Raw genomic sequence first — 26,673 nt, forward strand, 5'->3', positions numbered from 1 at the left:
GATAATTTGTTGTGCAGCAATAGAGAGCTAACACACTCTCTAAAAGTAATAAAGATTTAAGCCCATAAAGGGAGGCTATTACAACAGAGGAGAGGTGGCCAACAAATTTTGCAAGATGAGAAACAGGTAGACATAGGTCACTAATTTAGAAGAACAGAAAAAGCACCTGCAGAAGGGGAAGCCAAAAAGTAACTATCTGATTTGGGACTCAGGAAGTAGAGAGACAAGTGCCTCTGAAGAATGGGGTGCACATGACACTGCAAACCGGAAGACTAGGCAGGAGGCTGCATGAGGAGCTGCTGGACTCCCTAGAGTCCCCTCTCTGCCCCTACCCAGCCAAACAACTTTCCAACCCTCACCTCCACAGGAGGCAAATGGTTACCCTCTGAGATGCTGAATCAGATAGACTCTGGACTTGAGGACATCTGTCACAAAGAATAGTAGGTGTGAGGTGAAGTACTAAAACAGGAGTATTAAGTGAGGCCCCTATACTGAGCCATGGAACTCTTCCCCCCTCACCCCCCATCCTTTTCCCCTTTCCCTCACCCCCTTGGGAAGGAGACTGGAACAATGTCTCTGTAGAAATGAAGCTGATAATGCTTCTCCCTACCCTACTTCCACTCCATGTGTGCACATGTATACACACGGATATGCACACAGCATATAATCAGCTTTTTGTACCTCTTTTATACTTAAGACATGACTAGAAAAAAAATTAGCAGACATTTGAAATCTCTAGTATAGAAAAAAATCAAAACAAAGAAGAAAATGAGAGTCAGAAAATGCAGGGAACAGGAAAAAAAAAACCTAAGCAAAAACAATATTTCATCCATGAAACAACAAAATAGGATCCTACTTACAAAGGGACACATTCAGAAAACAAGAAAAAGCTCTTGGATATTAAAGATTAAGATAACAGGGAAAAATGTTTAAATTGACACCATGTGTAGGAGATAAAAGTGAGGCAATCTCCCAGAAAATAGCACACAAAGATAGAAAATAGGAAAGAAAAGATAAGAAAATTAGGTGATCCATCCCTGGAGGTCCAACTTCCAACCAACAGGAGTCAGAGAAAGAGAAATGCAAAGAAAATGGTTGAGTGAAAATTATTAAAGAAATATATAAGAAAGTTCTCTTCTATGGAGGATCTCATTAGAAACTTCCAGAGAAAAAAGGCAGGTGACAAAATATTAGAAATCTGAATGGCATCTGACTTCCAAGGCAACACTGGGTTCTAAAAGACAATGGAGGAGTTTCTGCAAAATTCTGAGTGAAAACAATTTTCAGCATAATGATATATACTCAATCAAATTACTTATCAAGTGTGAGGGAGGGATAATTGCATTTTCAGATATTAAGCCCTCAGTCTCAAAAAAGTTACCTCTGATGCACCATTTCTAAGGAAGCTAGTGGAGGATGCAGGCCACAAAACAAAGGAATAATCCAAAAAGGGGGAAAGCACTGGGTCTGGAAATCAGAGAATCTCAAAGAGGACAAAGGAAAAGGGTTACTGGGGTGCCAGTGAAGGGAGTTTCAGAAGGCTGAGTGTTGCAGACTTAGAAAGCAACCAGTCAACAGGTCGGGAACATCTCCCAGGAAATTGCACAAATGACACATGGCTTGGAGTACCTATTTGTTTTCAATATGGTTTGTCAAAGGGTTTGCTAACAATTGTAATTAAGAACAAAGAAAAATGAGAAGATTAAAAATTAAACTCCAGGACAACCAATAAGTTATAGAAGTGGAGAAATGTGATCATTGGTCTCGACACTGCTTTGTTGTGAATAATACTAACAAAGGTAAAATAATGAAAATACAAAATATCAACTTAAACAATGATTGTAATTAACTACATATATTGGAAGAATGGGGAGGGGCAACGTGTGTGCACCTGTGTGAGTGTGTGTGGTGAATGGAGTGGAGGGAGGGTTGTAAGGGTCTAAATCCTTACCTTCCACAGTTGTAAATCAACATATGATTTCTACATTTGAAAAGCAAAAACATACTCAAGAAATAGCCTTATAAATATCTTATCTAAACTTATTCAGGTAAATACTAAAATAAATGGCTAAAAGTTGTTGCCCCTGAGGAACAGCCCTCAGGGTTGAGGAGGAATGAGCCAGGAAATCATTTTTTATGTGTGAAAAATCTTATAGTATTGTTTGACTTTTCCAATTCCATGTCGGTAGGTAGGAGGCCATAGAAAACTATCTAATTTACACAGTACCTTGATAATAAGAACACTCTCCTCTCATCCCATGGTAGGGGTGGGAGGTGGAAAAGCATTGTTTCTGATAACTTTAACCTGACTTGACAGTGATGTCCTTGCAGGTGAGCATATACCTCCAGTTCCTTCTGCTAACCCCCACAATGCTCTGAATGGCAGGACCCAACTGCAGAGAGCTGAGACAAAACTGTAATCATGTCTTCTACCCATATGGTGCTGTCCAGTTTACAAAGTCCTTGCACATATGTTATCTCGTTTGATCTTCCTAACAACCATGTGCAGTACTCAGGGTGAGGAATTTGTACAGAGAAGAAACTGGAACTCTTAGAGGCTGATTGGCTTATTCATTGTCACACAGCCTGGACTCCAAACTATCTGCTACTTCATGGGCTGACTGAAGCCATCTATGTAAGGCAAGGGGAAATACGGCACGATTTTGGAAGAAGTCATTATCTCTGGTACATTGTCTATTTGAAGTCTTCTAATTTTGTGATATTGAGTCTTTCTATTCTTTATCTCCCCTGTCTGTCCACCACATCAATTCCTAACTTTTTCCTTCCTGTTCCTGAATTACTCCCGTTCTGACTTTTTGGATCCTATTCCTGCTTCTTTTCTCGTGCCTCCAGATTTAATTCTTGGCTTCAGGAATTGAAACATTTGAACACTGAGCCTAATCAGATAAACCGTGAGTATAGTGTTGACTTCATGGTTAGAAGTGGCCACCCTGGCCAGTCTACAGCCTGGGAATTTGAACTAGACCTGAGAGCCCTCTTGATGAGAACCATGAGGCACCCAGGCCATCACATATGATCTGCTTGGACCTCTGTTCATCCAGTTCAGTCTTCCACAAACACAGGGGCTCTGGCACATGAAATACATCACTGAAGATAGATTTCACATCATATTTTAATCTTTTGATTTATTCCTCAAGCACACACTAAGTTTGAGGCTAAAGAAATGGTGGAAAAAATGAGATGGGAAAAGTGGTGGGGATGAAACACACTGTATTCAAAACATTAGGGTTTGTGTCCACCCTCAATGGCTGCTGAGGGCTAAGGGGATTAGAAAGGCTCATGTGTGAGCCACCAACACTTTTTCCACCCTCAGACTCCTTGGAGATTTCTTGATCCATTTTGTGATTGAGGTAGACAGGATCACAGCATCCAGTGTTATGGCTGCAGGCATAATTCCAACATCTGAGAACATTTTCCTCCTAGATATTTAATTTCCTCTTCCAGCCGTTTACCACTGGGGCCCTAAAACCACTTCACAACTCTATCCACCACATCATCTTAGCCTCTTTTGCAAGTCTTTTAATATCCATTGGAAAATAATGCTGTCTTTGATTCTGAGAAATCCCTAACACTTCTTCCCTTGTTTCTAATTAGCAATATTTCTGTGGTAATTAAGATGAGAGTAGCTCCTCAGTTCTGCAGCATTTTTAATTCAGAAAGAAAGAAAAATACAATAATAATATAAAGTGGCTCTAAGAATGAATTTGTTAGGGGACTTGAGTGTATGATAAATAATTTCAGCCCATCTTAAAACACACACACACACATTCGTGTAGATATACATACATATCATACATATGCATATACAAGAACAAACACACACACACACACACACACACACACACAAACAATAATTACCCAATTCTGGAAAAACAGGATTCAAAATGCACCAATGGAAATACTGTCATTCTGTGGGCAGAACAAATGCATTATCTTAAACTCTAGGCATCCCACAAAATGAACAACTGCAGTGAGCTGAATGCTGATGAAAAATGGCCACAAACAGGCCACCTTTCTTCTCTCATGGGATGGCTGGAAATGGGCATATTTCCTTGCTGGTCAAACACCCAGTGACTTGGCATTTTCAATACTTTTCAAAGGCCCGCTGCATATATTCACTCTGTGTTAGCTTTTGTTCTTGCTAAGTATGGAGTGGAGTCAGAGCTCTGCATTGCCAGACAAAATCTAATGCTGTAGGCTGAGCCAAGAGTCAAAGGTGCTATCATTTCTACTTTACAGATGGCACTCCTATCTCTAAACTTGGGTTTGTGCATGAGTGCACAAATACATGCTTATACATCTTCCTAAGGGATTAACAAAAAGATGTCCTACATGGCAAAAAAAAAAAAAAAAAAAAGATATCCTTTCTTCATTTCTGACTTTTTAAAATCAAGGCATATTTTGAGGCTGGTGCTCATCAGAGTACAGGTAATGAGCTCTTGCTTGTAATTTTGTGAGTGTATATTTTCTCAGGGAATTGACAGATAGCATAGGGTTCTATTTGTTTGGAAATCATAATTATTTCTGGCAATTTGGTAATTATTTCTCCTGTAGCTAGTTACTTGTTGCCTTCTCAAGCAAAATTGTGTTTGCCAAGAGCTGGCTGTGGCAGTGCAGTATTTGGTGGCTAAGGCTCTGGGCATGGCTCATGGGGATGCTGGCCCTGCTAAGGACAGGCTCCCAGCTCCATGATTTCTCCAGCCCCCACCCCTGAGCTTGTCCATATCTGAGGAGAGTGAGCTGCTAAGTAGAATGCTTCTCTTTGTTTTAGTTGTTTCTTCCATTGTGAAATCCAGGATTCTCCCACTCCTATGTTTATTCAATCATAAAACCATTGGGAGTTAGAGCTCATTGAGCCTTTGAGATCATCTTATTCACCCTCTCATTTTATGAATGGAAAATCTGTGGTGCACAGTGAATGGTTATGCCAAGGTCATCCAGCAGTCGGGAAGGGCTAGGCTAGAACACAGGTCTCTTTACTCTCTGGCCAGTGCTCCTTTATCCTCCATGTGATGATTTAACTCTTTTTAGTTAAGCAACTTGTATAGATTTTCCAGTATGGATTAAGCATAGTCCTAGGTGCTGCAAGCTCAAGAAAGCCAAAAAAGAGGGAATGGTAGATGTCAAATGAGACAACATTAGAAGAGAACATTACACAGTGCCTGGCCCAGAGGAGATATTCCATGGGTCCCTGCTTTTCTCCCCTTTGCTCTTCCCCACCCCCTATAGATACATACAGAGGGGAAAAATCTCAGATATTTGAGGTAGTCAAATTCTTGCAAGTGTCAGAAGGGGAGCTGATAGACAACTCCAGTTACTCCTTTAGAAGCACATTTTCTAGTTCCTAATAAAACCTCTCAGGCTAGGCCCACACCTGGAAGAACTCCCCTGGTATTCTATAAAGACATCAGCTCCTGGGCTGCCCCTCTATTCCAGAGTGTTGATGAATGTGTGGCTCGCCCACACTGCCTGATTCATAAGCACATTAGTGCTGACTCACCGACAACTGAGAGAAAAAAAAAAAAAAAAAAATCTCCTCAGGTTTTGAGTTGAGATGAAGACACTTACAAGATGCAAAATTCAGCTCTACTGATGGAATGATAACTGAAACACACCATGAGCTAGTCATCTGGGGAAAATATTGTCAAGGGTATTTGGTCTCAAACCCAAGCTCTTGTACCCATTTTCTGAATTCATAATAGAATCTTCGTTTTCCAGAGATTTAAAAATCTCCTTACTTTACTATTAATGAAAAACAAGAAGCGTAAAACCATGAAGAATCTAAAGTAGCTGACCCAAGTTCAGCTTATCCCTGAGTTCAGCCTTGATAGGAGGATTTGGCTAGAAGGCTCCTTCCAACCATGAGTTGTGTGGCTATAAGATTATCACCAACCATCTTAGTGCCAGCTTTACATGAATCTGTTGTTCAATGATTTGAAGCTTCTCTAGATCTTATTCAAAGCAAGGCGTATAGGCTCAGACAGCCTGCTCCACCCCTGGATACTTATATAGAATAATCATGTAGAAATTATTGAATTGAGGGCAGCCAGGGCTGCAACTTGAGTTCCTGGGCCCCTCTGCAAATACATCTCCAAATAAGAAGACCGACGGCCTTTTTGGCATGTAATGAAATACAGAGCCATTCTGAAGATGGGCTCCTTGGCCACTGGGGAAGGCCATCCTTTGGTTTTGGCCTCAGCTCCTTGCCTTTTGATTCTTTTCCACCTCCTCATCAGAAGGCTAACAATCTAAACACCAAGCTCAACACACCCACATCAGTTAGTAGGCAGTTTTAGCCACATATAGCACAACACAAGTAATGTCCATGAAGGACAAAGCATATTCAAGTGCGTAAAGGACTGGTATACTGCCTGGTACAGAACCAAGCCTGATTTTAGCATGCATCTTTCATCTTTTTCTAAATCCAACTTGTACCAAAATACATTATGAGAAAAACTGTCTCTCTAAACTCTGTGAAAACAAGACCTTTTCTGGCAAGACTCCTGGTGTAGCCTGTCCTGTCTTCAAGCAGGACCCCATTATCCACAATGGCTGCTCAGTAAGCCTGGGCGTCCCTGTTACACTCACCTTCTCTGAACTCTGCTTTCTTGGTTGTTTAGCCTCTCAGCCTCCCTGACTCTCCTCCTCTTGCTCCTTCTCAGTCTCAGCTGTGCTTTTCTGTATTTGTGCATGTGTGTCTGACTCCTCTGTTGCCCCCTCTCATGGTACCCAGGGAGGCACTAATACTCCGGTGTCCTCAGCACAGTCCCCTTCCTTGGATAGACAAACTCAGAAATGGTCCCCATGATCTTTGCCTCCTGGTACTCATCCCCTTATGTAGTCTCCTCGCCATGAGTGTGTGTGGGACCATTGATGCTCTTCTAACCAACACCATATAGCAAAAGTGTTGAGATGTCACTTCCATGATTATGTTGTGTACAATTGTGACATCTTGTTGGCAGACTCCCTCCCTTGATGGTTTTGATGAAGCAAGAAGGCACATTGGAAAGGTCTATGTTTCCAGTATAAGACAGGGAGCTGAGGATGTCTCCCCACTGCCCAATAATCAGGAATTGAAGGCAGCCTCTCACAGACAGTCAGCAAGAATCTGAGGCCTTCAGCCCAACAAGCCAGAAGGAAATGAATTCGCTAACAACCACATGACACTGGAAGCAGACCTTTCTCCAATTGAGAAGAGACCACAGTCCTGGTCAACATCTAGGTTGCAGCTTTCAGATGAGACCCTGAGCCAGAGGACCCAACAAAGCCATGCACAGACTCCTGACCCACGGAAGTGGTATGATAATGTGTGTTGTTTTAAGCCACTAAGTTTGTGATAATATTACTCACAGCAATAAATAACCAATATACATCATACTTGAAGCACTCAACAATATGGCTATTCAGTTTCAAAGACTGTTTAGATTCAACAGTGTGTGAGGAGGATAACAGAAAACATTTACCCTAACATCCCTTTTGCAGAATTCCCTCTCCCCAGCACCTTGGACAGTTCACATCCAATCTCAACTTGAACTTTGATAGCTTTGAGAAGCTTAGTGTCATACAAGATAGCCATCTCACACCAGTTAGAATGGCAATCATTAAAAAGTCAGGAAACAACAGGTGCTGGAGAGGATGTGGAGAAATAGGAACACTTTTACACTGTTGGTGGGACTGTAAACTAGTTCAACCATTGTGGAAGTCAGTGTGGCAATTCCTCAGGGATCTAGAACTAGAAATACCATTTGACCCAGCCATCCCATTACTGGGTATATATCCAAATGACTATAAATCATGCTGCTATAAAGACACATGCACACGTATGTTTATTGCGGCATTATTCACAATAGCAAAGACTTGGAACCAACCCAAATGTCCAACAACGATAGACTGGATTAAGAAAATGTGGCACATATACACCATGGAATACTATGCAGCCATAAAAAATGATGAGTTCGTGTCCTTTGTAGGGACATGGATGAAATTGGAAATCATCATTCTCAGTAAACTATCGCAAGAACAAAAAACCAAACACCGCATATTCTCACTCATAGGTGGGAATTGAACAATGAGATCACATGGACACAGGAAGGGGAATATCACCCTCTGGGGACTGTTGTGGGGTGGGGGGAGGGGGGAGGGATAGCATTGGGAGATATACCTAATGCTAGATGACGAGTTAGTGGGTGCAGCGCACCAGCATGGCACATGTATACATATGTAACTAACCTGCACAATATGCACATGTACCCTAAAACTTAAAGTATAATAATAAAAAAAAAAGATAGCCATTCTATCTATGGACAACTCTTTCTTTTTTAAAATAATTATCTTATATCTATGCCACACTTATTCTGTGCTATTCACTACTCCATAATGTATATGCTTCATTGAAATTATTTCTCACAGTAATTCCATTAAGTCAGTACTATTATTATCTACACTATAAATATGAGGAAACTAAAGCTCAGAGAAGTTAAGCAACTTTTCCAAAATGAGTGCATTAAACAGACTTTAACCCAACTCTAACTCAAAGTCATATTCTGAACTACTATGACATACTGCTCCAATCTTGTTAGAATGTTCCTCCTTATGTTAAACCAAACTTTTCCTTCTTCTGATACACCGTTATTGATCCCATGGGAGTTTTACAGGATAAAAATTGTATTTCTCTTCCATAGGAAAAATTTTAAGATGTGTAAAAATAGTTATTATGTTTCCTCTTTCCTTCTTTATTATAATTTTTTTAAAGCACCCTACTTAAAAACTCAGTATGGAGAGGGATGAGTAAGCAGAGCAGCGAGAAATTTTAGGGCAGTGAAACTACTTTGTGTGATACTGTAATGGTGGATACATGTCATTATACATTTGTCCAAACCCAAAATATGTATACCAAGAGCGAATCCTAGTGCAAACTGTATAATAATGATGTGTCAATTTAGGTTCATCAATTATAACATATGTGCCACTCTGGTGGGAGATGTTGATAGCTAGGAAGGTTGTGCGTGTGTTGGGGTAGGGACACATGGGAAGTGTCTGTACCTTTCATTCACTTCTGCTGTGAACCTAAAACCACTCTGAAAACTAAAAATCTATTTTTTAAAAAAATTTCACTATACAAACAAACAAATGAACAAAAATTCTTCTATGGGGAATGAAGAGAAACTAGCTAATGGATATGTGGTTTCATTGGTAGTGATAGAAATGCTTTGAAATTAGATAGAGTTGGTGGTTCCACACACTGTGAATGTACTAAATAGTACTGAATTGTTCACTTTAAAATTGTTAATTTTATGCCATGTGAATTTCATTATAATATGTTTTTAAAATTCCTCCCTCAAAATGCATTATTTGTATTTCAAACATAGAAAATGATAAACAGAGTGAAATAATATGGACCTATATATCCAACCACCAGCTTAAGAAAGAAAACATTTTAAATAGAATGAAAATTGTGTTTTTCCACCACATACTACCTAGCCCTCCCTTTCCACTGAGACATAACCACTACTCTGGATTTGGTAGTTCTCACTCCCACGAATTTCTTTATTACTTTCCTTCGTACATATGTATCACTGAAGAATACATATCAGTATTGTACATGTTTTTAGATGTAAATAAATGCTATCATATTGTAGGTATTCTTACTCAACTTCCTTTTTCCATTCTGATTATGTTTGTGAGTTTCATAAATATACCACATTTTCTTTATCCATTCTCCTGTTGATGGACCTTCAGGTTATTTCTGTTTGTAGCCATAACAATGAATGCTGCTAGGAGCATATTTATATGTGACTTCTTATACACAAGTGCAAGAATTTTTTAGGTTATATATCTAGAAATATCTTTAGCTCCACCAGTCATTGCCTAGTTACTCTTATGGCAACCTTCTGAGATGACTCATCATTGTATTTGTCCTCCCTGGAGAAGTTCTGGGTTGTCAGGAACACTGGTCCAGGGAAATGAGATGATTGCCTCTTTTGTCCTGGGCAGACTACATCTAGCAGTGGTCTGAGATTGCAGAAAATGTTTTATCAGTCTTATACCTTGTAATCTGCCATTGATATTTTTGTCAGACAGTAAACCTTAAGTGTTTTTCACATGAATTATTCTTAAACCAGGTATCCCCAGTCTGTACCTGCTCAGCTTTTGTTTTAAGCCTGAATGCAGAACTTTAGTTCTACCCCTGTTGAATTTCACCTTGTTAGTTTTAGCCAGTCCCATAGTCTGTAGATATATTTTGAGTCCTAACTCTGCTATCCCATCCATGAACTCAATAATCATGCTTTCTGCATCTTCATCTAAATCCTTGATAAAATAGAGGATACAGCCAAAGATGAAGCCCTGTGATTTATGACAAGATGTTCTCAGATGTTGATGTAATCAGCTGCCTGCGCATGGCTGGTCAATTAACCATGATGTAGCTCTCAATTTCCATTCAATCCATAAGAATACCAAGGCAAACTTTGTCAGGGGCCTTGCCATATTGGCGGTATTTAGCTGATTTACATAACTAGCAATCTGGTGGAATATGGAAATGGGATTCCATTTAATATGCCTTGTTCTCAGTGAACCCATGCTAGTTTCTAGTGACTACTGCTTCTCATCCAAGAGGCCATAAACCATTTGAATAGTAATTCATCTTAGGATTTCTATAATGATCAGTATCAAATCCAGCAGGCTGTACAATCTGAAATCTGCTTTCTTTCTACAAAAAATCTAGTTTTTCTCATCTCTAGTCTTTTGGTATCTTTCCCTTAATCATTTCTAAATTGTGGTTTTATGAGCATTTGTACAAGTTTTTTAAAATTCTGGCATAAAACTTGTCAGGTTTGAAAACTTTTAAAGCCTCTGGGTGACCACTTAAATTTGTTTATCCAGTTTGAGTTTCAAGATTATTTTAACAAAATCGATTTTGTTCCTCTCTGTTGAAAGATCTTGCCTTTTGGTAAAGAAACAAAATACTTGAGTGATTCTCCTTTCTCTTCTCATCTTTAACGTTGCATCTTTAACGTTCCCCAAGCAGTGAGCTTGTCCCTTCCTTGTTCTTCTAATTCAGAACATAGCTACTGAAAGCTGTTTTTGTTGTCTCTGGCATTTTTCTAGTCTCTGCTCATTCTGAGTGTTAGCCTGTCTGGCACTATTTTTACAGGCTTATAATACTCTTTTGTATTTGTCCTTGGTTATGTGTTTCTCTTTCCATCCTTTCTACATAGTATTAATATATTGAATTCACTGAACAGTGTTCTGGCTTGCCTCACTGTTATTTCAGGATGTCACCTCATTTCTCTCCTATCTCTTCAGAAAAAATGCTATTGCTTGTCTGCTTCTGAAGGAGATAATGGGGCCCAATATTCAAACAATCGGAAAGCAGCATAATCATCATACATAGATCGCCTTCCATGCCAGCCCCACCTCCTATGATTGGTTTCTTCCTCCTTTCTTCTGTTCCCTTCACTCACATGGAGGCAAAGAATAGCAGAGAACCAGAAGGAAATCATGAATTAATGGATGCAAGAGGCTTTTCAGCCTCCTTGAGCTCTTTGGCCCCATAATTGGTAGGGTTTTATGGTACTAGAGATGCTCAGTGGATCCCATAGTCATCTGCTTAAGCCTGAATTAAGACCTGATTTTCAGAGGAGGAAAACACAGAAGCTAACAAACTCTGCTGTGTCCAGACCTTAAAGAGTCAATCAAATCTAGATTGCAAAATGATAGGAGTGCATCTAAGGAAAGAAACTGGTTGGAATGATTCGTATTCATTTCTTCCCACATTAGAGCTGGGACTTTTCTATAATGGCTTGGTATGTATAATGTTGTAGTACACAGTCCCTTATTCTGGAGACCTGTGAGGCCCGTGAGACCTGGGCCCCTGAGTCTGTTTTCAGTGGCCATGATCCATTGGCAAGAATATTAGAATAGACCAGTTCAGCTAGGGACCACTCCTCACATATCACAAGCTCTTTCCCCTTTCTGAAGCAAACTTCCAGCCGTGAAATATGAGAAAAATTACATGACTTCCTGCCATCACCTGTGGAAGAAGGATAAGAGGGCTAATGACTTAATATATTGTAAATCTCCTTGGCAAAAGAGGCTACATTATATTTTGATGTACATGATGGTGCTCAAATCTAGTAGGTGTTCACAATGTTAGCTTCTCCTTTCCTATAAGCTATATTGTTATATTTATTTTCTCACTATCTAAATAATTTTTCTGGTCCATTTTTTCTCCAGCACTGAAGAAGCCTGATGGAAATTTTATAAATTCAGTGGCTCCCAAGTTCTCTAACCAAGCCTTCCACCCTCACCATCATTCAATAAATGCTCAACTCAGACACATTTATATGCCCAAGTGCCTCACATGGCCAGTGATTCCTAAGTGCTAAACAGATTTGTTCTGGACTTGGAGTCTGAGCCTAAGGAGCAAGGCTGAGATAATTTAAGCACCTCTTGTAACAGAAGGCAACTGGAATTCAATAGAGATAAATGTAAAATGTTGAACTAGGGAGCTGAACCATTGGCAGGGTAGAATTCTAAATGGAAAGGTTATGGCTGAATGACTAAGCAAGGGAGAACACACACCATACCCAAGGAATTCTTGCAGAAATGCAAGTCTTGGGTGGACCCTGCAGAGAACAAGAGACAGGATGTGGTAGAACAGCATGGCCAAAGGAGAGCTACTGGGGCTCAGTAGAGGCCACTACTGGGAAGTCTCCCTCCTGAGGCAGACTGTCTGACAAGGGACAGAGGGATTTGGCTGGCTATGTCAAGCTGCAGGTTTTAGCTGCTGTCATGAGCAGTCCATTTTGCTTTTTCTCTGCCAGGCTCCAAACACCAGAAGTAAAACATCTAATGATAACCTGAGGTATTGGCTGTGTCTACTAGGAAAACAAAAACAAAAACAGCCACTCAGGTTGATTAATTCAATCAAATGATTGGCCAAGTTCCACGAAGAGATCGATAGAATCAGTGGTTGACCAAATGGAGAGGTTGAATCAGGAAGCATGATTGATCCCATAACCCCATGCAGAGTCAGCCAAGCAAGGCAATGTATTTGTCCATGAAAGGGTCTCTTGGGTGCCCACAAATTTGTCTTGCAATGAGTCCATGACATTGGCACGGGCCTGAAATACATCTGACATGGTTCTCTCTTTTCCTTCTTTTAAAGTATGTTTTCATACAATTAACGGAAGGGCAGGAATTTGCCCTCTTTTAGATTGGCCACACCAGGAACAGAAAAAGGGAATGGAGAAAGCCAGTAAAAAGGCAAGTGGATGAACACAGGCTATGATTCAAAAAGTTTTCAAAGCAGTCAACACATTTCTTGGGACACAAAAATTACTTGCAGTATTTTCTGGACAAGATCCATCAACACTTAGCAAACTAGCAATCCCCACGAAAGCACTTCATTCCTTAGCTAACGGTTTGCCTATTTCATGCTCCTCAACAGCCTATCAAAGGGTATTAAAAGACACACCAGTTACTAGCCTTGAGAACAAAAGAGGTGACACAAGCCCAATTTCTCCCTTTGCTTAGCCTCCTCAATGTCCACTTTGACAGCCCCCAGTCCCTAATGAAGAGGGCATCCATCAATTAAATTAGGGCAGCCTTACAAATCTCTATAGAGTGTTGACATATATACTAAGCTCTTTTGGCCCAAGTTCCAAATTCATTCCTCGCTTTTGGCAAGGAGCAACATGGAGACTTCTGCTGGGAAAACGCATCGCTATTGGAATGCATGAGAAAGACGAGCTGTGAGTGCTGGTATTGTCCTCACACACACTCTCCTGCCTTCTATTTTCCAATCAACTGTGAACAATTGGGTCCTTTCTGACATGTTGGCTGGGTGATAAAGGTTCTGTCTTACAGCTCTGTGTTTTAGCAAAGTGCTTTCTCTAAGGCTCACGCCACCCTTCTCCAAAGTTCACAAAACCTCCTGGAAAAGCCAGGCTTGTTTGCTTTCCTCCATCACTTCAGAAACTGGTGTGTGCTGAATCTTCATTCTTTAGACCAGAGTCACAGTCAGACTTTCTAGAGAACCAGTTGTTGATTTAGACAACGATTAGCAAAAGCATAATTATTAGCTTTAAAAGTGCTCTCAAGGCAATCTGTAAGCATCAACAAGCCAAATTGCAGAAATCCCACTCTGCTCTCCAAGACCCTGACTTCTTCAAGGCACTTGGCAGCTTATGGAAAATGAATTGTACCTGTGTCTTCCCTGCCAGAGGCCCTGGGGCCTCCCTCCTGCTGCCTGCCCTGTCTCTCTGACCACCCCAAGCAGGACGGGCGGCTGCGAAGTGGGCACCTGGATTCAGATCCATTGCCCCAGAGGTTCCCTCATTAGCATTCAGTTGTTATGCTTTCCTGGGGCCTTTTGTGGTTTACAGGATGGGAAAGAAATCCCTCGTCAAGAGCCTTAGAAAATCTCGTGAGTGGTGGTTCTTTATTAATCCACTTAATCAGTAAATTACATAATTAATATATCAAATGGTACCTAGAGGCTCAGAATATTTAAAAATAATGTTGTATTGGTTGCACATTTTGATGCTGACTCTAGACATTCCTGGGGACAGCTCCAGAATTTCCATATAGGAGGGGCTTCAGGGTGCAATTTGGTTTGAAGGGGGGAGCTTAGGGAACACATGAAATTAAATGTTTATTTGGGGTGGTTTTTGGGGAGGGGAGGTCAGCTGGAGACTGGGGCCACTCCTGAACACACCTACACACTGATTTCTGAGCCCTTCTGCATTCTTGCTGTATTGAAGCAGGCAGGCCCTGGGAACCCAGATGGCTTTGATAAAGCACTCACCTCCAATTTTCTCACCCCTCTGCCAGCTTCTTGTTCTGCCCTTGGCTCTTTGCCTGCCCTATGTCTGGCTTCCCTCTTCAGCTTTCTACCTGCACCCTTGCCCTTTCCTTCACCACTAACTTTGTTTCAAAATCTATCTCCTCTTTATCTCAGTCTAGTAATAAATGGCTAAAAGGCAGGAATGCCCAAGGGACTGCCATAAACCAGAATTATGACATAGCATCCAAGGCTAAAAGCTGAGCTCACTATTCTAGTTTGAGAGCAAATGTTTTAAATGGTTCAGCCCATAAAGAATCCTGGATCTTAAGAAAATCACAAAAGTTTGGCTTTCTTTTCTTTTTACAAATAAGGACAAACAGGATGACTCTGCCAAGCCAGACATTTTGTTTCTGAGGGTGCTGTCTTTCTAAGAGTGGGCGAGGATACGTTGCTTCTTTCTGGGGCTCTTGTCTTTTTAGCATTTCCCTCCTCATTCCACTCCCATCCCCACCAGAGGTGACATCACAGAACAGAAATGGTGAATCTACAAACGAGGTCAGACAAACCGGTGGAGGATGAAAACAATAGGTTGACCTTTACAAATATACAGTATTAGATTTGAAAGGGCTTGAACCCAGAGATCAGGAGCCGAGGGTAAAAGCACTGAATAATAATGCCACCCACTGGGAGCAATTCCACGTAAGGAAGTTATTTCTCACTGAGATCCAACCCTAGAAAATGTCCTCCCAGGATCCCCTGAGTGAGGGTGCAGGGAAATCGGAACACTTATACATTGTTGGCATAATACTTTTGGAGTGTAAATCAGTGACATGTATCCAAACCCTTATAGACACACATTGACTTTTTTCTTCAGCATTACTTTCTAGGACTTTACCCTCAGAAAACAATTAAGAAAGTGCACAAGACTTACTTAAAAGGATGCTCATCAAAGTACTGTTAGAAATACTGAAAAATGATCTATGTGTCCAATAATGATTCTAGTTAAATAAATTATGGTGTATCATACAATGAAATACCATGAAACTACTAAAAAACGAATTACATTTGTTGTCATGTTCATAAGGTATTTTGGGTGGGAATGAAAGGCAGGAAGGATGTGAATTGAAACTGGACTCAGACCTGGCCCTCAAAAAGCAGGCAATCTAATAGGGGATGGACAACAGGTAGAATCTTGAAAAGGCTTTCAAAAGAAAAGACAAGACAATCAGATCCTGGTTGATTGTTTTGTGTTATTTCCACAAAACTCCTTGTTGCTCTATACAAGGTCTAAATTACTCAGCCTCAAGCAGAGAAGGAAGAAAATAAAGAAGACCACATTAGCTTGGGAACATATCCCTGAATAAACGAGAGTTCATTATGGACTCTTAGTACATCAAAATCCAATTAATTCATTAGCTCTGCACTTGCATTTTTATTCTTTTCCCCTGGCTGCCAGCCTTTTACCCTATGATGTAGTTTACTAGCAATCCCAAAATGGGGTGAGTAGGGGAAATAAAAAGGAGATGAAATCCAAATGAATCCATTTGCTACATGTTAAGTATGATGGACGAGAGCGGGTGGTGAAGGCAGAGAAAAGTGCTGACAACACGGTGTTTGAGAGTCTCTGGCAGAGGCCCCGCCTTGCAAGAGAACAGCCTGTGCGGTGCACATGGGCCCTGAGTAGAAGGTGAGTGAGGGAGTCCATGTGTAGTCCTTGGAGCTATAGGGCCCCCAAGCCACATGCTGCCTGCTGCAGATTTTCTGGGATTGCCAGTGAGAAAGGGGGTTCAGCTGGAAGGGGATCTTCCTCTTCTGACTGCCTACCCTTGAATTCTTTCTTTTCAGAAACATGACTCCTACAGTCACCACGGAGTGTTTGAGTGACACGAAGTCTCCATGTCATGGATGGCCAGGCAGCTGCTGAATGAGGCATGCTCACGTTCTGATTCCCCAGATTAATCAACCTCACTCCTGCCATCTATTCCATCCCTCTGCAATCTCCTACTCACTTGAATATCATAAGTCTACGTTTTTTTGTCCACAAGGAGAAAATAATTCTTATAACTTTAGTCCCTAGACTGTTACTTTTCAAAGTATTCTTTAGGGAACAGAAAGAGAATGCATCAAATCATGTCTGCAGCTACTGTCCCTACTGAAATGTGGCACATCTTGTGTGCCATTAGCCCCCATGGCTTTATATTCTTTTCCACAAAACCATTACTCATGTTTTTATTTTCTGCCCTGTTTCCCTCAGCCTGAGTTGCATTTTTAAAAATGATATCTCAAGATCTTTAAGACACCTACAGTGGTTACCCTTTTATTAGTCCTCCTGTTCAAGCCTTGGCATGAAAAATTTAAGACCTCAGATCTCCTAAAAATCATGTGTGTATAATTACGTTTAATTTTGTTTGGAACAATATTTAAGTGTAAATTTCCTATGAGAAAAGAAGAGCCTGGGATGTATGCATTGGAAAAGGAAAGGTGGCCCATGTCGAGGCATTTCCACTGGACCATCTGCCAAGCGAGTCCCTGAGAGCTGACAGTGCTGCGGGCTGATGGGCTAGCATGTGCACAATGAAAGTTCAACCTAGACAGAAACAGCCTTTCAGGGCTGCCTCCCAGGAGGCCACGGAGGACTGTGATGATTGACTTGCAGCAGAACCTTGTGCCATCCCCCAAGCAGTCAGGTGATGTGCTATTTAGAAAACACCTCAGAGCCAGGGCAACGAGGAAATGATGGTTGAAGCATCTGCGGGTCTAACATGGCCATGGGAGGAGCATCTCTGTTGTGATGTTCATGTCATATCAAGAACTCTTTCTATCTAAGGTGGAAAGTGTGGTCTTGTGGAAGAGAGTGGGGAGTGAGAAGGAGGAACCTGGGACCTCTGCCCCTGTATGCCCTGCACAAGCCCCTCCCTGCTCTGGAACTCATTTGCCTCTCCTGTGAAATTGCAAGAGAAGTAGGGGCTTTCTAAGCATGGCCCTCCAACTCCTTGATCATTCTAGGAATCTCTGATACTTTCATGTGAATGAAGTGGGATGGACGTTCTTAATGAGCTTCTGCCAGTCTCACAATTCCTATAGTTTAACTTAAAAAAAAATCAAGGAAAACAAAGACTGGAGAAATTAATGATGAAAATGCAGTCTGGCCATTTCTTTATTTCAATTTTCCTGTCATCCTTATGTCCCTAAACCAGGGATAATAACAAGTTAGCAGGTATATTTCTTTACAATAACATAAGTCTGCCAAAATATTTTCAAGTTTCTTGTTTGACCTTGCTGAAGGCAACATGAGCTCTTACAGCTGACAGATCATCTCAAGCCCAAGCCTCTGTGGTCCCAGAGCAAAGTCCCACTCAGGTCCAGCTGTGGACAGGCAGGTGCCCATTCAAGGACTGCTTTTCAGGTTTCTTTTCATATACTATCACCCTCATATAGTAAATAATTATTTAGCTGTCTGAAGTATGATGATGGATCACTGCTTTTCTCTCTTTAAACATACAAGCCTAACTGCTGTTTTTTTTTTTCTTTTTCCTTGTTGATAGCTAGTTTCTACCTGTTTCATGTAATTGTTTAAAGAGCCTCGGGCCCATGAAACAAGCTTTGTGGGCATTCCTCGGCAATCAATTTGTCCTGTTAATAGCTCCATCCCTTCCCATAGAGAAGATCCTTCACTTTACAAGAGGTGCTCAGATTTGAAATGATCTGTCTCCCTCCATCCATCAGTCCTTTGCACCTCTTGTCTGCCTCTTTGCACTATGTGCTCTCCCTTTGCATGGGTCCTTCTGCTTATTTCACTCTCTGAGGTTCTGGAGCCTGTTATCTCGTGTATCCAGTCCTCGGCCTCCCATCCAATCCTGGATCAATTGCTGGAGCCCTGCAAGTCACTTCATCTCTGTTCACGGTTTCTACTGCAAGGCACAGTGCACAGAAGAGCAATGTGCTGAGGCTAGAGTTCACAGGAACCCTCCTCTTAGGGACTTGAGACTCTTGAAGGAAGCCATAATGGCTTCCAGATAGATGAAATGGAATACAATGAAGGCAAGGCAGTTTCACTCTCTTCAGTGCAGACTGCATTGAAAAGGAAGAGCTTGCCTTCATTTTGATGCCAAGACTAAGGAAAAGTTCCTTTGAAGGGTTTCTCTCTCTTGCCCTGTCCACTTTTTTTTTTAAGTAAGAGGCTTTTTTTTCTAGTCTCAGTATTTTTATTCTACCTTCTATGCAGGGACTGCCAAGGAAGGGCCCGTGGTTGGCCGGGAAGGAGAGGAAACACAGCACTGAAAGTGAGGATGAGAGAAGGCAAAGAAAGCCGATAAGTTAACCCTCTAGGAGATGGCAAAACGCTACCCAAAGGGCTAGGAAGAAAGTTGCATCTCAATTGCACTTGCTGTGGACATCCCATTTTTCTCTTATTTAATTAGAGGCACATGAGTTGAACACAGGAGATAAAGACATCTGCAGACAGGTCTTCAAGAGCGCTTCAAGAGTGCTCTCCACTAGCCCTCCTTCTTCCCCACCCCTTCAGTCTGACCAGCAGAGGGCTGTCCCATGCATGAATGTCCTCCCAGCATCCCAAATTGTGTCCACAAAAGAACCAAAGATTCAATCCCCAAATATTTACTAAGGTCAACTATTGTTCCTAGCTGATGCCAGGCAAGCTGTATACAACTGGATCTCTGCTTTCAAGCAGCTGACGATATAATTGTTGGGACAAGACAGAGACAAATGAAACAAAGAAAAACCAGTGTAAAACCATATATCACTCTGTGATGAAATTTGTGGTTTTTGCAGTTTTGTTTTGACCGGTACTCATAGAACTGTCAGCGATCGATAAAATGCTTGCCGGTGATATCAATATGTCATCAAAATTAATAGCACACCATGGCTGAGCTCCATTTATTCACTCATTCAACAAGTACTTATTAAGCACTTACTCTAATGATATTTTTGGATTTGCAAAGAGCTTTACACTTTGCTAAACACTTTCACAGTGACTTATTTGATTCTTATCGGGCAGGCAGATTTACAGGAGATAGACAATGAGACTCAGAAAGGTTAGGTCGTTTTCCAGGTTACCAAGTTGATAAGCCTGAGATCCAAGACTGTAGCTCTCTCTAGTCATCCATGTACCCTCTTCCAGTCTACCCCTCAGGCTCAGCCATAAACAATGGCTGTACATTTGAGTCAATATGGTTAGCTGGCGGCCAAGACCTTATGCATCCTACCCACTCCTCCTTCACATACAATTATGGATAAAAAGGCTTTCCTTCAAGTTCTATAAATAGGAGTCCTAGGAATTCCATCTATAGGTTTTGTATAGATCTGCACACACACACTTTCCTGGCCCTTATACTCTGCTTCTTTCATCCCCGCTCCTTTTGTGTGGAGAAGACCAAACTGCTGATTTGTGATCTTTGTGAATGTCTCCAGAGGCCCAGGATGAACTTTACAAACCCACCTCAATTTCAGGCCGAGGGGCAGGGTCATTTGCACAACTCTGTCCATCTTTCTCACCCCTCAAACTCTGATTAAAATGGTAATTGAGGGCAGTTGGGGTGCGGAGGAGAAAAAAGAAAGGAGCTGAGCTTTTATGAGGCTAAAAAAGGCAGCTGTTTTCATTACCACTTGGAGAGGGTGTGTGGGGGGTGTTCATGTGCAGGGTAGACATGAATGATATGACATGAATGGATTTTATTACTTTAGTCTGTGCCATAGCTGACTATACCCCCAAAGACTAGGGTACCAAGATTGATATGTAAAGATTCCCCACAAATCAGAGTGAGGGTGCCTTTTCATGTACGAAGATTGAATTTATCTTTTTCTCTCTTCCCTTCTTCTTTCCTTTTTTCCTTCCATTTTTCCGCTTTCTCCTTTTGTCCCTTCTTCCTTCTCTCTCTTTTTCTTTATAATGTTCCCCCTTTCACAAATCTATTCCTTACAGCACAAATGACTCCTTTATAAAAGGAGTCATCAAAATTAAATTGCATTCCAGACTCCATTGCAAAAAACAAAACTCACTACCAATATCTCCAAATATTTCCATAATGTTTTTTCTCCCACACCTTTCCTAAATAGAAACATGTCTCTTCACATGACACCAGAATCTCCAGGTTTTTTCATTGGAGGCTACTCCTCCTTCTCTCACCCAATAGGACCCAGAGATGGTGTTGACATTCCTTGAGGTGCATGTAGATTGATGTCATTTACTGTCTTCCAGACCCACCTCCATTTAGAATTGTGGCACTCTCTGCTCTTCACCCAGCCCCACTCATCATCAGAGTTAGCTCTAACCCATCTAACACCTCAACCTTAAAGTTTCTTTACCTTCTGAACTAAACACCTTTGTCCGCAACCCATCCTGGAGTCCCATGACCTTGGCCCAGTTGAGAAGCTATCATAACATGGGACTGCTCCACCTTTAGAATGTTCACTTTGTCATATCACTCTCTGACCACCTCTCCTTCTCTTTCTCTCTCTTTTAGTGCCTTTTTAAAGCCCCATCTTCTTTTGAATCTCAGTAAAAATATAATTCTATAGTTGATGTTTACTGGAAGCTTTTTATGTGCCAAATCCTGTGTGTATATTATCTAATTTATCCTCACAACAACTCTATAGATGTACGTGTTATTACTATCTCCATGTTACAGATGAGGAAGCCTCAGCTTAGAGCAATTCCCTCAAAGTGGCACAATTAACAAATGTGTTAAAAAGCTGGCAAGTGCCCCAGAGCTTATACTGCTAACCTGTATGCTAAAACCCTTCCATTTTGCCTACTCCATTAACTCACACATAACTCCACTTCCTCTCCTATCCGCCCTGAAAATCTGGATGCATGACTTTGCCCTCCATTTAGCCACACCTTTGCATTTTTCACTCCATGTCCTTCTCCTGCTGTCACCCCACTAACCTCCAGGCGTGAATTCATCCAACTACCTGCATGTTTTACTCCAGCCCTGGGCTGATGAGCCCCCCAGATTCATACTTGGGTTGAAATCTAATGTCAATGCCACTTTACTTGTGTCTTCAGAGGCCAAGTTCCAAAAAGAGCATCAGGCAGAGTAGGGACTGTCAAAGGCAACCCTGGCACAACCACCAGAGTCCAAGTGAAACTTTATGTAGGGAGTATGCATGCTTTCCATGGAACCAGGCCTATTTGCCCTCAAGGAAGTAGCCACCAATAAAACAAATAAGGAAACAAACACCCTAGGTGTTTGTTGTTGAACAAACTTCATGATGCCTGCAGTCTCATGAGAAGCACCCTCACCCTCAGCAGTCTGTGCTGTCTGAGCACCTTCTACACCTGGATTGGACAGGAACAAAGATCATGGGCCGCTACTACTGACAGCACTGATGTGCACTAATGTTAATGAGCTCACACCGAGGTCAGCAGAACGACCTCAGCCTGAGCCTACTGCCTCAGTTGGCTTAAAGAGTAGCCACTGCCATTTCATTCATTTGCTCATTCATTCATTCAACAATTTCTTGAATGTCCTGAGCTAAGCAGTGAGGATACCATAAAGAATATGACATTTACATCTGGAAATATTTACATTCTTTAGTAATCAAGACTTCATTCCTATATTTACTGTCAGAAAACCACTTATGAAACCAGAAGAGGCTGAGGTATTTTAGTAGAGAATGGGCCCAAAGAAAAAAAATGGACAGATAATGTCCCTCTTGATATTCCTCTTGATATTTTCTGAAGAGTGTACAGGAGAGGGAGAAGCACCTTTGATGCGGGTCACATCAATCAGTCAGTCAATCATAATGGGCACTGTCATCCATCTGTGGTGTTTGTGTTTAGTTCAAGTACAAAAGTACAGGCTTATTATAAGAAACTTAGAATACATAAAAAAATTGAAAGATACATATACCATAATATAATTACATGTAACAGAATAACATATAAATTACATATAGAGAGAATATATATATATATATATTCCAACATCTGAATTTAACTATTTTATCATTTTGGTGTATTCCCTTCCAGTATGTTTGTCTCATTCACATCTTTCTCTAAAATAAAATAAAATAAAATAAATTCATCCATATGCATTCTAGATGCCATATGAGTAGAGCTCATATCCTTTCACCCTACCTAGCCTCCCTAACCATGATTTAGAATTTCCCAGGTGACTTTCTTTTTCGTCCAGGGAGACATGCCTCAAGAGAAGGAGGCTTAATTTTAATAGCTTAAGTTGAGAAGATTGACTGTTAAATATCTTGCGATTCATCCTGAAGCTAAATGCATTATATATCATCTTGTTTGCATTTGTTGGCAGTTTTTAGTGGTCCAAATTGATCCTCTGATTAGCGTGCCTAAGCAGACGTTGACCATAGAGGTATTTCATACTCCCTGTACTTGTGTACAAGTGTGTGTGTACACCCTCCAGCCACACTCCACCAGCTACTCTCTGACTTTGATTAAGGAAGAAATAAATTTATGTCACCTGCAACCTGCCTTCTGTTTTGTACCAGTAAAAGATTCTGCCCTTGCTAGGGTTGTGAGCCCACCCTCCCTCAGAGCCCTGCGGCTTTTCCAGGAAGCAGGGAGGTGAGGTATGGAGCTAGCACTGCAGCAGTCGTGTGGGAGAGCAGGATGGTGGCTGAGTAATAAAGATCCTGGCTGCTGTTTTCTGGAGGGAGAAGGCCTGGCTTGCTAAGCAAAGTAAGATGGAAAGAAGTAACTGGAGAGTAGCTTGTCACACCCACCCAGCCTGACAGCCCAACAGGTGAGTTAGCAAATGCTACACTGTAAGGAATTGCAAGCTATTTTCTGCAAAGTGGGCAAAGACTGTGGGATTAACGACTGTACAGCATGATAGATGTTGCTAAAGAAGGCCATAAATTACCAGCCATAAACCTGGCAAAGCTTATCCGATTGTATGTTGCAATCTGGGGCACTGGCAGATTTCCAGCACGGCTGGGGGTGGCAGGGTGGGCGTGGGAGTTGATGCAGAAGCTGGCAATGCATACTCCTGGCCGTAGGGTACAGATGGTGAGCTTGGCAGATGTCCAGAATTGGAGGCTGTGGAGGCAGCAATGCTACTGGATGAGCTCTGCCTTCTCTGAATGGCAGCCCTTGGTCAGAGATGCTAGAAAAGCCCACAATAAGGCTTGGCATGAGCAATTAAAATAAAAACAAAAAACCTCAGTCTTCTTCCCATTTCCTGCATATGGGATGGTTGGCCAAGGGGGCCCTTCCTTGGATATGAGTTGGGAGATCAGATCCCAGTTGTTTTTTATCTCAGGTCTTGAAGAGGAAGATGAGAGGTGGTGGGAGTGGGCGTGGAGAGAAGACCTGGGATGATGTCTGCTCCCAACTTCCTCTGTCAGGGATCCTAAACCTAGTTAAGTGCTGTGGATCTAACCTGTGACCATGACAAGGACCTTCAGGCCATTACCATGGCCTTAAATGATGACCAATCTCCAGCCAGACCCAAGTCCAGTTCTCGCATTCCCAAAACCTTCTCCTTTCTCCCCACCCTGGGTGAAATGAAAAGACGTCCTGTCCCCATTGTCCTTTTCTGTCTGCTCCTGTGGTTTTAAGAAAAGGTATAAGATAATCAAAGTACAGAAAAAAGAAGAAGAGAGAGAAAAAAGAGGATCAAATGAAAGAAAAGATGGGAGTAGGAGTCAAAGAATCACACCATTTCCTCAGGTCTTTCCCTCCAATCCCCACTACCAAGAGTTGCATCAAACATGACACTGATTAACTGCTAGTGGGAGATATGCAGCGATAAGATATGGCGCTATCTTCTACCTTCTTCCCATCCAGTACACACTTGTACATACACACACACACACACAACCTTTTTATACACATACTTTTCAAAAAGTGTCTGCTTACCAAATAACAAAGATCAGCCTCAACAGATAATTGTTCCCCTCCTTTCTTTCCTCTCCTATGGTGCAGAAGGCAATACACCTAAGCAACACTGACCCTTGTGTGTAAGGACTGCAAAGCAGTGAAGGCATGCTGCTTCCTTCCAAGTGCTGATGGTCACAGAGGCACGGAAGGCAGATCAAAGGCCAAGAAAGCACATGAGCTCCGTTCTGCATGAAGATAAAGGGTCAGAAAAAGTTGACTATCAGCCTATGTATTTACTGAGTACCTATTATGTACTGTGTCAGCCATTAGGGATTCAGTGGTGGACAAAACAGATGTAGCACATTCCTCATGGAATTTAGTAACTAAGCAGTCTGGAGAAGTCATTGGTGCTATTGACCAAGTATCTCTTGCTCTCTGCCTTCTGGAGGCCTGGCAGGATTGCACTTTCTGGCCTCTTTAGGTTTGCTGGGGCCATGTGGCTTGTGAGTGGAGGTACACCATGTCACTTCCAGGACAAAGCTTTATTTCATTGTCAGTGTGAGACCTTCCCAAGCAATATTCAAGTTGGTGGCTGTTCTAACAGCCTGGGTCCCTGAGAAACTAAAATAAGCAGAGTCTGCCAGCTAACTTGCAATGGACAGGTGGTGTGAACAAGAAATAAACTTACATTGTTTTAAGCCACTGAGCATTTGGGAGCATTTTTTACTATAGCATAACCTAGCCTGTCCTGACTGATATACTTCTATCAGGGACCAACACCTTTATTGAGAATCCACTATGTGCAAGCCTTGTGCTAGGCACCGTGGTTGGATAGAAGCATTCATGGGTACTCATCTCTACCCTCAGCCTGTCACAGCCTGGTTGACGAACACATGAGGAACATGCCAACCATCATTTTTAGCACATAGACACCCAATAAATGTATTGGTTGCTAATAGGAGTCTATCAGTCAGAGGCTAAAGAGGAGTAGAACTCAAAGGAGAGAGAGAGAGTGCCTCAGATTGGGTAGTGAGGAAAGACTTTGTGGAGGTTTGGACTTGAGATGGGCCTTGAAGGCTAGATTGAATGTAACCAGGTAGACAGCAGTGGATAGAGCATTCCAGGTGGGAGAGAGCCCGCACCACAGTGCACCGGGGGACTGTGTATGATGGGCTTAGGAGGCAGTTGGTAAAAGTTGCTGTCCCCACACAAGCAGTGAGAAGGCTAAGTGGTGGGGACTGCACTGCTAAGTTGAACCAAGCTGGAGCCTGCAGATGCCAGTGGAAAAGTCATCCTCCTGGGAGCTGTGGGGGCAAAGGAAAAGGTGTGGCAAAGTGGATGGCCCAGGCCTGCTCTGCTAGGGGCTGCGATTCGAGACATCCTCATTTGGGGAGCTGTGCCTCCAGCCAGCAGCTATTTTTTCCCCTCATTCTCTGCAGAAGGTAATAACCCGTCACCAGAGCAAATAAAGTCTGATTTACATGAAATTTAATGCTAAGAATTTTCCTTTATTCCCCAGCACTGCTGTGGTAGGATGGCAGTGATGGCACAGCTGGGCCTGCTGTGTGCAGCTGCGGGATTTCACTGGATAGAAGTTTAAAAAGAAATTACTTTTCTGTGACAGGGTCTATCACCATGGGCAGGGGGCTCTCAGTCAGCTTGGCAATTTCCCACCGGTTTTCCCTGAAAGAGATGCAAAGTCAGGTGGAGAGAATTTGAGCAAGGTGGGAGGAGAGGAGGAAGTGCAGTCAGAAATCTATTCAGTATTTCCGGGCGCTGGTGGGTGATCCTTAGCCTCACTGCGACAGTGACTTGAGTCTCATAAAGCAGCACTGGTACCACCCTTGCACAGGCCATCATGATTACCATCTATCACCAATGATCAGAAATATTCTTTCAGGACCAGCCCTGACTGTACTAGGCACAGCAGCTACAAAGACAAGGCCACTGCCCCTAGGAATTTATCCTTAGTGACACCAGCTACTCACATAAAAGCATGATCTTTCCCCACCTCCATCATCATCCCACCACACCATCCCAAGCTTGTAAA

The 26,673-nt window shown here is 42.0% G+C and overlaps 1 protein-coding gene across 2 annotated transcripts in view, besides 2 other annotated features; it reads right to left on the reverse strand.

Annotated features, from left to right (window-relative positions):
* Window positions 1–26,673, reverse strand: part of TNR (tenascin R) — a 428,402-nt gene that overhangs the window by 234,788 nt on the left and 166,941 nt on the right. The gene's annotated exons all lie outside the window — the stretch shown is intronic.
* Window positions 13,780–14,281: an enhancer, noted in NCBI's record as "H3K4me1 hESC enhancer chr1:175532897-175533398 (GRCh37/hg19 assembly coordinates)". NCBI's record gives its function as "activates a minimal SCP1, AML or CMV promoter by ChIP-STARR-seq in primed H9 embryonic stem cells {active_cell/tissue: H9 hESC(primed)}" and the evidence as "EXISTENCE:reporter gene assay evidence [ECO:0000049][PMID:30033119]".
* Window positions 14,282–14,781: an enhancer, noted in NCBI's record as "H3K4me1 hESC enhancer chr1:175533399-175533898 (GRCh37/hg19 assembly coordinates)". NCBI's record gives its function as "activates a minimal SCP1, AML or CMV promoter by ChIP-STARR-seq in primed H9 embryonic stem cells {active_cell/tissue: H9 hESC(primed)}" and the evidence as "EXISTENCE:reporter gene assay evidence [ECO:0000049][PMID:30033119]".

Source organism: Homo sapiens, chromosome 1 (assembly GCF_000001405.40).
Source record: "Homo sapiens chromosome 1, GRCh38.p14 Primary Assembly".
Taxonomy (NCBI): domain Eukaryota; kingdom Metazoa; phylum Chordata; class Mammalia; order Primates; family Hominidae; genus Homo; species Homo sapiens.